Source organism: Homo sapiens, chromosome 16, assembly GCF_000001405.40.
Source record: "Homo sapiens chromosome 16, GRCh38.p14 Primary Assembly".
Classification (NCBI taxonomy): Eukaryota; Metazoa; Chordata; class Mammalia; order Primates; family Hominidae; genus Homo; species Homo sapiens.
In genome coordinates, this window is record NC_000016.10 from 20,408,695 (window position 1) to 20,422,490 (window position 13,796).

At 41.6% G+C, this 13,796-nt stretch overlaps 1 protein-coding gene across 4 annotated transcripts in view; it reads left to right on the forward strand.

The window, feature by feature from the left end:
* Window positions 1-839: 839 nt before the first annotated feature.
* The window catches only part of ACSM5 (acyl-CoA synthetase medium chain family member 5), a 31,803-nt gene continuing 18,846 nt past the window's right edge, over window positions 840-13,796 (forward strand). For 2 of the 4 annotated variants that reach the window (NM_017888.3, NM_001324372.2), the window contains exons 1-5: window positions 840-971; window positions 2,776-2,994; window positions 9,365-9,575; window positions 10,534-10,741; window positions 12,564-12,707. In NM_017888.3, the coding sequence (NP_060358.2) occupies window positions 2,791-2,994; window positions 9,365-9,575; window positions 10,534-10,741; window positions 12,564-12,707 (767 nt within the window). In that variant the 5' untranslated portion in view covers window positions 840-971; window positions 2,776-2,790. Of the gene's footprint in view, window positions 972-2,775; window positions 2,995-9,364; window positions 9,576-10,533; window positions 11,089-12,563; window positions 12,708-13,796 lie in introns of those variants that run through there. The other 2 variants (NM_001324371.2, NM_001324373.2) reach the window with 2 other exon arrangements.

Genomic DNA, 13,796 nt, shown 5'->3' on the forward strand with positions numbered 1-13,796 from the left:
TGAGCCAAGATTGCGCCACTGCACTCCAGCCTGGGCGACAGAGCAAGAGCCTGTCTCCAAAAACAAACAAAAAAACCCAAAAAACTTCTTTTGGCAGTGTACAATTATTATTACTATTTTTTGTAGTAAATTTACAGAGATCTGCAGTCATGACCACAATCCAAATTTAGAACAATTCTATGACTTCAAAGGGATGCCTTAGAGCCGTTCCCTGGAACCACTCCTCTGTTCTCTCTGTATCTACTGGAGGGTTCTAAGCAGAAAAGAAACAAAGTCTGACTTATATTATTATCACTATTGCACCTTTTCTGTTAAAACATCATAATCCCAGCACTTTGGGAGGCCGAGGCGGGCGGATCACGAGGTCAGGAGATCGAGACCGTCCTGGCTAACACGGTGAAACCCCGTCTCTACTAAAAAATACAAAAAATTAGCCGGGCATGGTGGTGGGCGCCTGTAGTCCCAGCTACTCGGGAGCCTGAGGCAGGAGAATGGCGCAAACCCGGGAGGTAGAGCTTGGGGTGAGCCAAGATCGCGCCACTGCACTCCAGCCTGGGCCACAGAGGGAGACTCCGTCTCAAAACAAACAAACAAACAAAAAAAAAAACCCGTCATAATCTTCCTGTTGCTTTTTCCGATTAGATGGCGACTTGAATTTTTAGGGAATACATCCACCAGTTTGGGCACACCCACCAGGCACGACAGTTGAGGTCTGATCTTCCAGCCACTGTGAGTACTGAGAAAACTTGGCAGGGGGCCACTCTCACTGGCTCAATGCACCCTGACCACTGGAAGCCACTGTGTCAGCTGCTGGGTTCTGGCTCTGCCCACTCTTGGCTGCATTTGGGGCTGAAGTTCCCTGTGGGAGGCTGTTTTCTGAGGGAGCTGAGTGTTTACAGCCACTCAGCCCTGCTCTGCTCAGCTGAAGCAGAAAACAGAGACCTTTTGCATTACTTTGGTTCAAGAGCAAGGTAATTTGGAAAGAAATTTTTCAGACGAAGGTATCAGCTGCCTCTGAGGCCTTTGCTGATTAAATCAAGAAGTGACATCTGAAATGGTGTCGGGGAATGGGAAGGAGGCCTGGGGATTCTAAATTATCAGCTGTTTAGGTGGCTGAGGAATCCAGGGGTGGGAGACTGAGGAAAAGGACTGGGGCAGAGCTCAGTTCAGGAGAGGTGAGGGGCGGGAGAGGTGAGGGGCGGGAGAGGTGAGGGGCGGGAGAGGTGAGGGGCGGGAGAGGTGGGTCAGAGAAAGGAAGTCTCTGAGGCTGCAGGCCTAGGCCTGGTGGCCACTGCAGAGGCTGGGGCCTATGTTTTTCCAGGAAGTGAAACCTGAAAGTCACTTTTCCCCTTTAAGCCTCATTTTCTTTATCTTTAAATGGAGAAAATAACATTTACAGCATAGAGTTGTTATAAAGATTTCATGAAATAATGCCTCTAAGCACTCTTAAAATGCTTGGTACACAGTAGGCCTTCAATAGACTGAAGCTGTTATGGTTTTTCTTGTTGTGCCACGTTATTATTGTTGGTTGTTATTACCATATTTTGTTATTATTATTACTAAGAGGAATTTAATGCAAGGAAACTGAAACTGAGGTCACACGCAGCTCCCGGGCCAGTGCCTCTCAAACTTTAACATGCATATGACTCATCTGAAGATCCCGTTAACTTGCAGATTCTAATTCTACATATGTAGGGTGGGGTCCCATCTGCTGGTCCCAAGATCACACTTTGAGTAGCAAGACACTAAAACTGGGCTGGGCACAGTGGCTCACATCTGTAATCCCAGCACTTGGGAGGCCGAGTTGGGAGGATCACTTGAGGCCAGGGGTTCAAGCCCTGCCTGGGCAACATAGTGAGATCCTGTTTCTACAAAAAAACTTTTTAAAAGTTAGCCACACATGGTGGCTAGTGCCTGTAGTCCCAGCTACTAGGAAGCCTGGGGTGGAAGGACTGCTTGAGTTTGAGGCTGCAGTGAGCTATGATGGCACCACCGTACTCTAGCCTGGGCAGCAGAGTGAGACTCTGTCTCAAAAACAACAATAATAAAAATTTTAAAAATAATAAAATTAAATAAAAAAATTAAAAAGACACTAAAAGCCCATCATGCCATACAGCAGCCACTTGTGGCTTTTGAGCACTTGAAGTGTGGCTAGTCCAAATTGACATGTGTTTGTAAGGGTAAAGTCTATTTCAGATTGTGAGGACTTAGTACCAAAAAAAACAAAAAATAAATAAAAGTATGTAAAATATCTCTTTAACAATTTATTCTTCTATTGACTAGGAATTGAAATGGTCATACTTTGGCTCTATCTGGTTAAATAAAATGTTTTATTATAATAAATCTCACCTGCTTCTACTTTTCTTAATGGAAGTACTAGAACATTGTAAATTGCACAGGTGGCTCACGTTCTATTTCTGTTGGACAGTGCTGCCCTAGAGCTGTCTTCAGCTTTGCAAGGTCAGTTCAGGATTGGCCAAAGCCTTTTTGAGGGATTCCTTTTGAAGTATTGAGGTTTGAGAAGTGGGATCTGAGTTCTGACCTCAGACCCAGATACCCACAAGTCAGTGAGAGGTCAAAAGGACAGACCTCGGGGTCAGAGGAGAGAAATGACCATCACACAGCAGAACTGAGACTGAAGGTGGAGAGTTTATTCTACAAGTCAGTAAGGATCACAGTCACCATCAGCACTAACCACAGGTTTCTCCTAACCTATGTGTTGTCCCCAAAGCCCAGAATTTATGACAATGCCCTCTTTCCTCTCTTTGGTGACAGACAGGAGGCGACTGCATGAGACCATGGCTGAGACACCTAGTCCTCCAGGCACTGAGGAACTCCAGGGCATTCTGTGGGTCTCATGGGAAGCCAGCACCTCTACCTGTTCCTCAGAAGATCGTGGCCACCTGGGAAGCCATCAGCCTGGGAAGGCAGCTGGTGCCTGAGTACTTCAACTTCGCCCATGATGTGCTGGATGTGTGGAGTCGGCTGGAAGAGGTGAAGCCTGTTCTGTCCTAGAGTCCATCTGGGGCATCTGAGGCTGCCCTCATGTACCACAATGAGACTCAAGGCTCCAAGCATGTTGATGAGGAAATTTGGACCTGGGAATTTTGCTAGTTCTAAAATGTAAACTGTTGGCATTTGAGACTTAGGAAAAAATTCTGAGTCAGTGTTGTGAGCCTTAGACATGCTTGTTCCTTCTCTGAAGTGTCCTGCATTCTTGAGCCCAAATCACACAGTGAGACAGTTATGTCCCTTCCGATTCCCTTCCAGTTGTTCATCAACTGAAGGAGGAAGTTTTGTTTTGCTGCTACTCTGTCTTTGATGTTTTTCTCTCACTGTCACGCCCTTCTCTTCTAAATAAGGAAAGAAGGCCGGGCGCGGTGGCTCATGACCATAATCCCAGCACTTTGGGACACCGAGAAGGGCAGATCACCTGAGGTCAGGAGTTCGAGACCACCCTCACCAACATGGTGAAACTCCGTCTCTACTAAAAATAAAATAAAAAAAAATTACCCAGGCATGGTGGCGCACACCTGTAGTCCCAGCTACTTTGGAGGCTGAAGCATGAGAATTGCTTGAACTCGGGAGGCAGAGGTTGCAGTGAGCCAAGATCATGCCACTGCACTCCAGCCTAGACAACAGAGTGAGACTCCACCTCAAAAAATAAAATAAAATACAACAAAACAAAATAAAATAAGGAAAGAATAGGGCTCAGGCTCAAAGCTTTTTGCAGATCATAACAGATACATAGAATTGAATAAGATAACCCTGATTTCTTTGTGTGTCTCTGTGCATCTGCTTTCTTCTTTATTTTCCCTTATATCTGTGTCTGTTGGGTCTCTCTATTTCATGGTTACCTTTTATTTGTGTTACATGATACTAACTTTTCATTTATAAGAGGAAGACATACTTCTAAAACTGTATTTCAACCAATGTGAAGCTTAACCAATGAGAAAAGCCTTTTCCCTAGGGGTTTTTGTCCAAAACAATTACGGACAAATGTTTAACTTCATTGTTGCCTAAGGTGGTGGATAACAGTAGGCACAAACAATAGATTCACCAAAAAGTGAAAAAAGAAAAGCTGGAGAATACAAAACTGGAAATATAAAATTTAATTCAAAGAATTGTATTCATGTTAATTATAAGAAGAGATTGTTTAAAGAAAAAATATGAAGTAAATGGCATTGTTAGTAGATACAATAAAATTAACTGTCAGCAGATGTAGTGAAACTTATGAAGGTGGTATGAGGATGACTGAGACTTAAAAGCAGGATTTGCAGTCAGATAGACATTGTTCATCCGTGTACTTGAAGTGTGACCTTGGACAAGTGCCCTAAGTTCTTTAGATCTCAACTTTCTCATCTGTAAAATGGTAGTCAGACCATATGCTACTTAGAGTAATAGTGAGAATTAAATGAGAATTGCATGTAAGACATGAAGCCAGGATGCTCCATTCCTGATGGCCTGCAAAAATCTAAGTTCTTTTTGCAATACTAGGGGTATCCTTAGAAGACTTCTCCTAATGATAAAAACAAGCAAGCAGGATTAAGTCAGGAAAAAAAATGGTAGAATAAGGACTTTCCAGCTATGTGGTAGCCTTGAAAAATAACAGCCCCCATTTCTGGTGCATCACGGCAACCATTAGATGGGCCAGAATGGAGTTGGAGTTTTTTCAAAGCTTCACTTATGAAGAACTGTTGTTATTTGAGCTGCCCATTGGTTCTTTGGAAGACCCTACTTGTAAAACTGTATTTGAATCAACTTGAAGCTCAACCAATGAGAAAAGCCTTTTCCCTGGGGGTTTTTGTCCAAAACAATCACAGACAAATGTTTTAGCTTCATTGTTGCCTAAGGTGATGGATAACAGTGGGACAAACAATAGATTCACCAAAGAGTGAAAAAAGAAAAGCTGGAGAATCCAATGTCTATGGGAGCTTTAAAAAATTCTATTGTATTCCTGGAAATCTAGAAATCAACACACCTAAGTAAGGCTGTGTGCTTTCCTAGGGCTTTGCACACGCTTAGAAAAGATCTGAGGAAACTCTAAGCTCGCACTTCTGGCAGACTGAGAGTTGGAGCATGCAGGAAATTAACACTAAGGCAGGATTGTTAATTGCCTGGCTGAGTGCTAAAGGTGTGCCCCAACACCCACCCAAAGACTGGGAGATTTATTGGTTTCAGGCATTTAAAGATATTTCTGTCTAATCATAAGATGACTACTAAGCTAACCAAGTAGATATCTCAGTGGCCACACAGAACAAATAATGCAGACTTCACAGAAATGGTTCACAAAAATCACTAAACAAATGACAACAAGCAGCAACAGCAAACCAAACTCTGGGGAGTTGTGGGGAATGGGTGGGGGTGGATCTGATTTCCTGAGTAATCACATGATGTAATTTTAAATTTATAGTTTTCAACAAAAATTTACAAGATACGCAAAGAAACTAGAAAGAGCATGGCAATGGTTATCAAAATAATGCACCCCTTCCCCAAGATTTTTATACCTTAATCCCTGAAACCTGTGAGTATGTTATCTTACATGGCAAGAGACTTTGCAAACATGATTATACTAAAGATATTCATATGAAGAGATTATTCTGGATTATCTGGATGAGCCTAATATAATCATAAGGTACCCTATGAGAAGGCAGGAGGGTCAGAGTCAGAGAAGGAGATGTGACAATGAAAACAGAGGTGGGAGTGATGTGGGGCCACGATCCAAGGAATGTGAATTGCCTCTGAAAACTAGAAAATGCAAGGACACAGGTTCTCCACTAAAGCATCCAGTAGGAAAACAATTCTTCTGACACCTTGATGTTAGTCCACTAAGACTGATTTTGAACTGTTTATCTCCAGAACTATAAGGCTGTATATTTGTGTTGTTTTATGCAATTAAGTTTGTGATAATTTATTACAGCAGCAATAGATGGGATTATTCAAAACCAATACAGATTTTGGCACCAAGAGTAGTAATGAGAGCTGTAATAAATACCAAAGGATGTGAAAGTAGGTTTGGAATTAGGTGATGGGTAGAGGCTGGAAGAATTTTGAGGAGCACGGAAAAAAGCCTAGATTGCCTTGAGCAGACTGTTAGTAGAAATGCAGATATTAATGATTTTGCTAGCGACACCTCAAAAAGAAAGGAGGAGTATGACAGATGAGACTGTATTGTTTTAAAGAATCATGAAGACTGTTAGTAGAAATATGAACATTAAAGGCACAGATGATAAAAACTCAGAAGGAAATGAAAAATGTAATATCAGAAACTGAAGGAAAGTGGATCCTTATTATATAGTGGCAGAAATTTTGGCTGAATGGTGTCCTAGAGCTAGATGGATAGAATAACTTATAAGGGATAAGCTTGGATATTTAGCTAAGGAGATTTCCCAGCCAAGTGTTGAAGATGTGGACTGATTTCTTCTTGCTGGTTATATTACAATGCTGAAGGAAAGAAATAGACAGAGGAAAGAATTGTTAAGCAAAAATAGAGCCAGAACCTGGTGGTTTGAACAATTCTCAGCCTTCCTATATTATAAAAGACATTAAAGTTAGGATATTCACTGTCAGAAAAGTATGCTGCAAAGGGAAATCCAAGAGTGTGGTTGGACAATCTTTTGCTAGCAATTCGAGTATCAAAAAGTCACAGAGAGCTTTTTGAAGAGATTAGACAAAGTTCCTCAGTTCCTTCAGCCATGGAGGCAGAAACCAGCAATAGAGATGGGATTATCTGGAAAAGATCTGTGGAGGAGCCACTTCCCTAATGGGGTGAATCACTGAGACATACATGAGAGAACCACTAGTTTCTTGAGAATGTTTTATCAGCAGAAATACTGCCATCTTGTACTGGACAGAGAGAGGAAAATATAGAAGAAGGCTGTTGGACTCCCCAAATTCTACAGGCAGGAAACAGGTGGTTAAATCTACTTAGCTACAAACATGTGTTACCCTTCTTGTAAAAGAAGAGATGATTTAGGGCAGAGTTGTTAGTCAAGAATGTGGAATTGGGAGCCCAGAGGGTGGAGCTGAGCAACTAGAAAGCAAAGCCACAATCACAGATGATTAAGGGCTTTGAAACCTAATAGAGTTTTCTCAGTTGGATTCAGAGTTGCTTGGGATTGGTGACTCATTGTTTTCCTTTTATTTTAATTCATTGTTTGAATGGATATGTCTCTGACTATTATGGTATCCCTACTTCATCATTGTATTTTAAGAGCAGATAACTTAATACTCAATACTCGAGTAAGGAGCAATAAAAAATGAAGTTAAGAAATGATTTCATTTACTAATAGCGTCAAAAAGAACGAAATACATATAAATAAATTTAACCAAAGAAGTATAAGGGTTGTACATGGAAAATGACAAAACATTACTGAAATAAACTGGAAAAGATGTAAACAAATAGAAATACACCCCATGCTCATGGATTAAAAGAATTAATATTGTTAAGATGAAAATACACCCCAAATTGAGCTGCACATTTAATGCAAACTTTATCAAAATCCTAGGAGACTTGTTTACAGAAATAGACAACCTGATTCAAAAACTCGTATGGAAATGCAAGGGACCCACAGGGACCAAAACAGCCTTGAAAAAAAAAAAAAAAGAAGACTCACACTTTTCTATTTCAAGTCTACTGCAAAGTTACAGTAACCAAGACAGTGTGGCACTAGCATAAGGATAGACTTGGATAAATAGGTATGAATTCAGAGTCTAGAAATAAATCCACAAATCTATCATCAATTGATTTTCAACAAGGGTACCAAGACAATTAAATGGGTGAAATAATTGTCTTTCCAACTAATGATGCTGGCACAACTGTGTGTTCACATGCAAAAGAATTAATTGAGTCTCCTACCTGACCCTAAATACAAAAATTAACTCAAAATGTATCAAAGACCTAAATGAAGAAACATAAAGTACAAGAAAATTTTTAGAAGAAAACATAGGAGTATATTTTTGTGACCTCTGATTGGGCAATGGTTTCTAAAGCAAAAGCAACAAAATAAAAAATAGATTAATTGGACTTCATGAAAATTAATAGTATTTATATATCAAAGTAAAAAGCTCACAGAATAGGAGAAAATATCTGAAAAATCACATATTGGTTAAGGGTCTAGTATCTATCATGCATAAAGAACTCAAACTAGACAGTGAAAAAGACAAATAACCCAATTAAAGTATGGGCTAAGAATCTGAAGAGACATTTCTTCAAGGAATATAAACAAATGGCCAATAGACACATGAAAAGATGCTTAACATCTTTATTCATTAGGGAAATGCAAATCCTAGCCACAAGGAGATACCACTTCATAACCAGTGGCATGGCAAAAAAAAAAAAAAAAGGTACAATAACAAACGTTGGAGATGATGCAGAGAATTAGAACCCTCAGACATGGCTGGATGGAAATGTAAAATGGTGCAGTGCTGTGGAAAACAGTTTGGCAGTTCCTCCGAAAGTTAACATAGAGTTATTATAATACTGACCCAGGAATTGTACTCCTAAGTAGATATCCAAGACAATAGAAAACATGTGCTCACAGAAAAACTTGTACATAAATCCTCATAGCAGTGTTATTTATAATAGCCAAAAAGTGGAACCAACCCTAATGTCTATGAACTGGTGAATGGATAAACAAAATGTGGTCTATCCATACAGTGGAATATTATTCAGCCATCAAAATAATGTAATGCCAATTCATGCTATGACATAGATAAATCTTGAAAGCATTGTACAAAGTGAAAGAAACCAAACATAAAGCTACATATCATATGATTCCATTCATATGAAATATCCAGAAGATGCAAATCCATAGAGACAGAAAGCAGATAAGTGATAACCAGGAGCTGGAGGAGGAGGGAATGGGAAGGGACAGCTAATTTGCACAATGTTTCTTTTTAGGGCAATAAAAATGTTTTGGAATTAGAGAATGGTGATGGTTACACAACCTTGTGAACATACTAAGAACCAGTGAGTTGTGCACTTTAAAATGGTGATTTTTATGGTACCTGAATTATATTTCAATAAAAAAGGGAAAAACAGAAAACAGTGTTAATCATGTGCTACCTTTTGCATTAAAAAGATAGTAGAAAAAAATATATGCTTGTGTTTGCCTAAAGAAACTATGGAAGGATATGCAAAAAACTAATAAAATTGGTTACTTATGAGGCAGAGGAAGTGGAAAACAGGGCAGGTAGGTATAAGGAGGGGAGCAAGCCTTTTCAATGCATGTCTTTCCATATTGCTTTGCTTTTTGAACCCTGTGAATTTTATATTAACTATTATAAAACATTAAACAGCAACAAGCAAACAAAAATTCTCAATAAATTGCTTCTTTTTTTTTCTGCCTGTACCACCATCTAGGCTGGACACCGCCCCCCAAATCCTGCCTTCTGGTGGGTCAATGGCACAGGAGCAGAGATCAAGTGGAGCTTTGAGGAGCTGGGGAAGCAGTCCAGGAAGGCAGCCAATGTGCTGGGGGGTGCATGCGGCCTGCAGCCTGGGGACAGAATGATGCTGGTACTCCCACGGCTCCCGGAGTGGTGGCTGGTCAGTGTGGCTTGCATGCGGACAGGTCAGTAAGCAGGGCTGGGAATTTTAGTTGGGGGCAGACACAACTTGCCAGAGCTTTGCAGTGTCCACAGGGTCTTGAAGATGGAGCAAAAATAAACTGTATGTGGAGTTGTGTTTACTTCCTATTTGCCTAACAATCACAGACTTGATTGTATAGTAGGGGCCAGACAATGATGTAATTGATAAAAGCAGGCCAGTGCAAGGCAGTAGGGAGTTGTGAGGACTGCGGCAAACTGGAGATCACATGCTTTATCAAATGGGGTCGCTGCTTCTCAACTCGAACCAAATGTTCCCACGACAGAATGAATACCAGTGTTATCAGAACTTCTGATTTGTAATTGAAAACTCTGGATTTTTATGAAAAATCCCCCTGTCTTTTAATGTTGGCATCTATCATTTTAAAAAGTCCTGACTGGGACAAATCAAGCATATTTTCTGCTGGTTGTGGTTTGGGAGCCTTGCTTTAGTTGCTAGAATTTTACCCGAACGATGCAGTTATAGATGAGGGACCCTTATAACCAATCTATGTTAGTTTCACTCTTAGACTTTATGATTCTCATTATCACAGCATCATCCAGCTCCCAAAGGAAGGAAGATAAAGATGAAATAAAAGAACCAGTGATATTATCCCTTGCAGGAGGTTAGGGGGACAGGTCCTCCTGTTGTCATGAATGTCCAGGGCAGTGAAACATTATCTTCTTAGAATGGTTCCTTCAGCAGAGAAACAGAGGAGGAAAGAGGCCACAGTGAGCCTAGCAAGCCTCCACTGATGCTGAGTGAATAAGTGATCATGCACTTATTCAGACGGCTAGGGTTTTTAGGCTGTTATTATTATTATTGTTACGTCTTCCAGCTCATGCATTCCAACCCTCCCCAGCCCCTTCCTGCCTTCATCTCTTACCTCTATACCCAAGGCCTTCCCCGCTATCCACTCAACATCCCCTTCTGTTTTATGCCAGGGACTGTGATGATTCCGGGTGTGACTCAGCTGACAGAGAAGGACCTCAAGTACCGGCTGCAGGCGTCCAGGGCCAAGTCCATTATCACCAGTGACTCCCTAGCTCCAAGGGTGGATGCCATCAGTGCCGAATGCCCCTCCCTCCAGACCAAGCTGCTGGTGTCAGACAGCAGTCGGCCAGGCTGGTTGAACTTCAGGGAACTCCTCCGGTGAATTGGGGCTCTCCAGAACAGCAGAAAAATGAAGTCATTTCCCCTTTAAGCAACAAAAGATGAAATGCATTGCTGATTCCACACATAGAGAGCGAATCAGAGAGGAGCACTCCCATTGGCAGCCAGGCTGACCTGAGCATAATCCTGGTCCCTACCTTAATGTTCAAGGTCCCTCATTCAGTCAGTGCTGGATTTGTCAGCAGCTTTTCTGTGCTTCATTTGCTTCTATAATGCGGTGGTAGTTATTAGAGCTACCATTCAGAGTACATGAAATAACCAATATGGTGCATTTAGCACATAGCAGGTGGTCAGTTAATAATAAACTAGTGGCCATGTATTGGGTACTTAGTGTATCGCTAGATACTGTGCTATGTAAGCCTTCACCTTCATTCATTCATGCAGCGAAGATTTAATGAACATCTATTTCACGACAAGCATTGTGTTTGGTGTTCAGAACACCATAATGGATCAAACATCACCTTATTTAATCCCTGAACAGGACATTGTGATGGGCCCTTTAACCCAGTTTTACAGATGAGGAAACTGAGACTTGGAAAACTAAAGTGACTTGCCCAAGGTGCTAAAAAGTAGTCAAGTCAGGAGTGGGCAGAGCCGAGAGCAGATGTGCCTTGGAGCAAGGGCCTGGTGGAAACCCATCTCAGAATTTGAGACTTTGTCCTGATTGGAAGCCAGAACCCAAAAGGAGCCTCTCAGGGGCCTGAACCATTGAGTTATGAATGCTCACCCCACAGACCAGCTGCATCAGATTCACCTGGCTGCTGTTTTGAATACAGATGACAAGGCCTCACATCTGACCTACTTAACCAGACACAGCTGAGCAAGAGCCCTGGGGATCTTTTTTAAAAAAATCAGCCCATAGGGCCAGGCGCCATGGCTCACGCCTGTAATCCCAGCACTTTTGGAGGCTGAGGCAGGCAGATCACCCGAGGTCGGGAGTTTGAGACCAGCCTGACCAGCATGGAGAAACCCCGTCTCTACTAAAAATACAAAATTAGCTGGGCGTGGTGGCGCACGCCTATATTCCCAGCTATTTGGGAGGCTGAGGCAGGAGAATCACTTGAACCCGGGAGGCAGAGGTTGCAGTGAGCCAAGATCCCGCCATTGCACTCCAGCCTGGGCAACAAAAGCGAAACACCATCTCAAAAACAAAACAAAAAAAAATCGGCTCATATGATTTTGAGAGCTGTCAGGTGGGCCTAGATCAGTGGTTCTCAATTTTGGCTGTTACTAGAATTACTGAGAAGCATTTAAGAAAACATTAAAGATTCTGATTTTATTTTGTTCAGGGTGGATACAGACAAGTTTCTTCCAAAAATTTACCAGGGGACTTCACAGTGCAGCCAGGGATGAGAGCCCGTGGATTAGCTGATCATCCAGATCACAGAACTTTGGGAATTACCTAGATCTCAAAACCCCATATTGGGGGAAACCTTTAGAAAAGAGTTCTAAATTATTAGAAATTGGGATGGGGGTGGAAGCTGTGCCTAAATGTGCAGAATTATAGACATGGACATGTGTGTGTTCTACCAGAAAGTCCTCATACCTTGGTAAGAAAGCATGGACTCTTTTGCGTGAATTATTTATCTATTTTGAGCCTCAGTTTCCTGGTCTGCAAAAGGGTTATAATGATAGTACCTACCCCATGAGGTGGTTGCAGATTACCCAAGCCAGAGCTTTCAGCACAGCACCTCACATGTGGTATTTATGAAACGGTAGTCATATTGTTGTTACACATATTATTGGTGCTACTAACTGTTTTTACCGTGGTAGTGCCACCTAGTGTATTTACGTTTTACAGGGAGGCTTCTACAGAGCACAACTGCATGAGGACAAAGAGTCGAGACCCGCTGGCCATCTACTTTACCAGCGGAACCACCGGGGCCCCCAAGATGGTCGAGCACTCCCAGAGCAGCTACGGACTGGGTTTTGTGGCCAGCGGAAGGTACCAGAGCAGCTTGTCTAGAGGATCCAAGAACAGAAAGTGGGGAGTGGTCTGGAGGGGGTGGTGTGAGGGGAAAGGTGTCAGGAACGGAGGTCAGAGAGCCAACAGAATTACTGAGAAGCCAATAGGAGCAGCTTAGGAAGGATCTTGATGGTTCTGGATTTTACTCTGAGTGAGGTGAAAAGCCATGGGAGGTTTCTTTTTAAATCGTGGCTATATATATATATATATATATATATATATATATATATATATACACACACACATATATATACATACATACACATATAAACATATATATACATATATCATAAATGTACCCTTTTAACCATTTTAAGTGTACAGTTTAATGTCATTAAATACATTCACATTGTTGTGCAACCACAATCACCATCCATTTCCAGAATTTACTTTATCTTTCCAAATGAGAACTGTGCCCCCATTACCCAATAACACCCCATTACCCTCTCCCCTCACCCCTGGTAACCTCTATTTTACTTTTCATCTCTGTGAATTTGATACTCTAGGTATTTCGTGTAACTGGCATCATGCAGTCTGTCCTTTTGTTTTGCAATTTGGCTTCTTTCACTTAGCATAATGTCCTCAAGGTTCATCCGTGTCATAGCATGTGTCAAAATTTCCTTCCCTTTTAAGACTGAAAAATATTCCATTGTATGGATAGACCACATTTTATTTATTTTTATTTTTTATTTTATTTTTATTTTTTTGAGACAGAGTTTTGCTCTTTTGCCCAGGCTGGTGTGCAGTGGTGCGATCTCCACTCACTGCAACCTCTGCCTTCCAGTTTCAAGCAATTCTCCTGCCTCAGCCTCCCAGATAGCTGGGGTTACAGGTGCCCGCCACCACACCCAGCTAATTTTTGTATTTTTAGTAGAGACCGGGTTTCACCATGTTGGCCAGGCTGGTCTCGAACTCCTGACCTCATGATCCTCACGCCTTGGCCTCTCAAAGTGCTGGGATTACAGGCATGAGCCACTGCACCTGGCCTCGACCACATTTTAAATAATCCATTCACCTGTTGATAGACACTTGGGTAGCTTCCACATTTTGGCTATTGTCAATAATGTT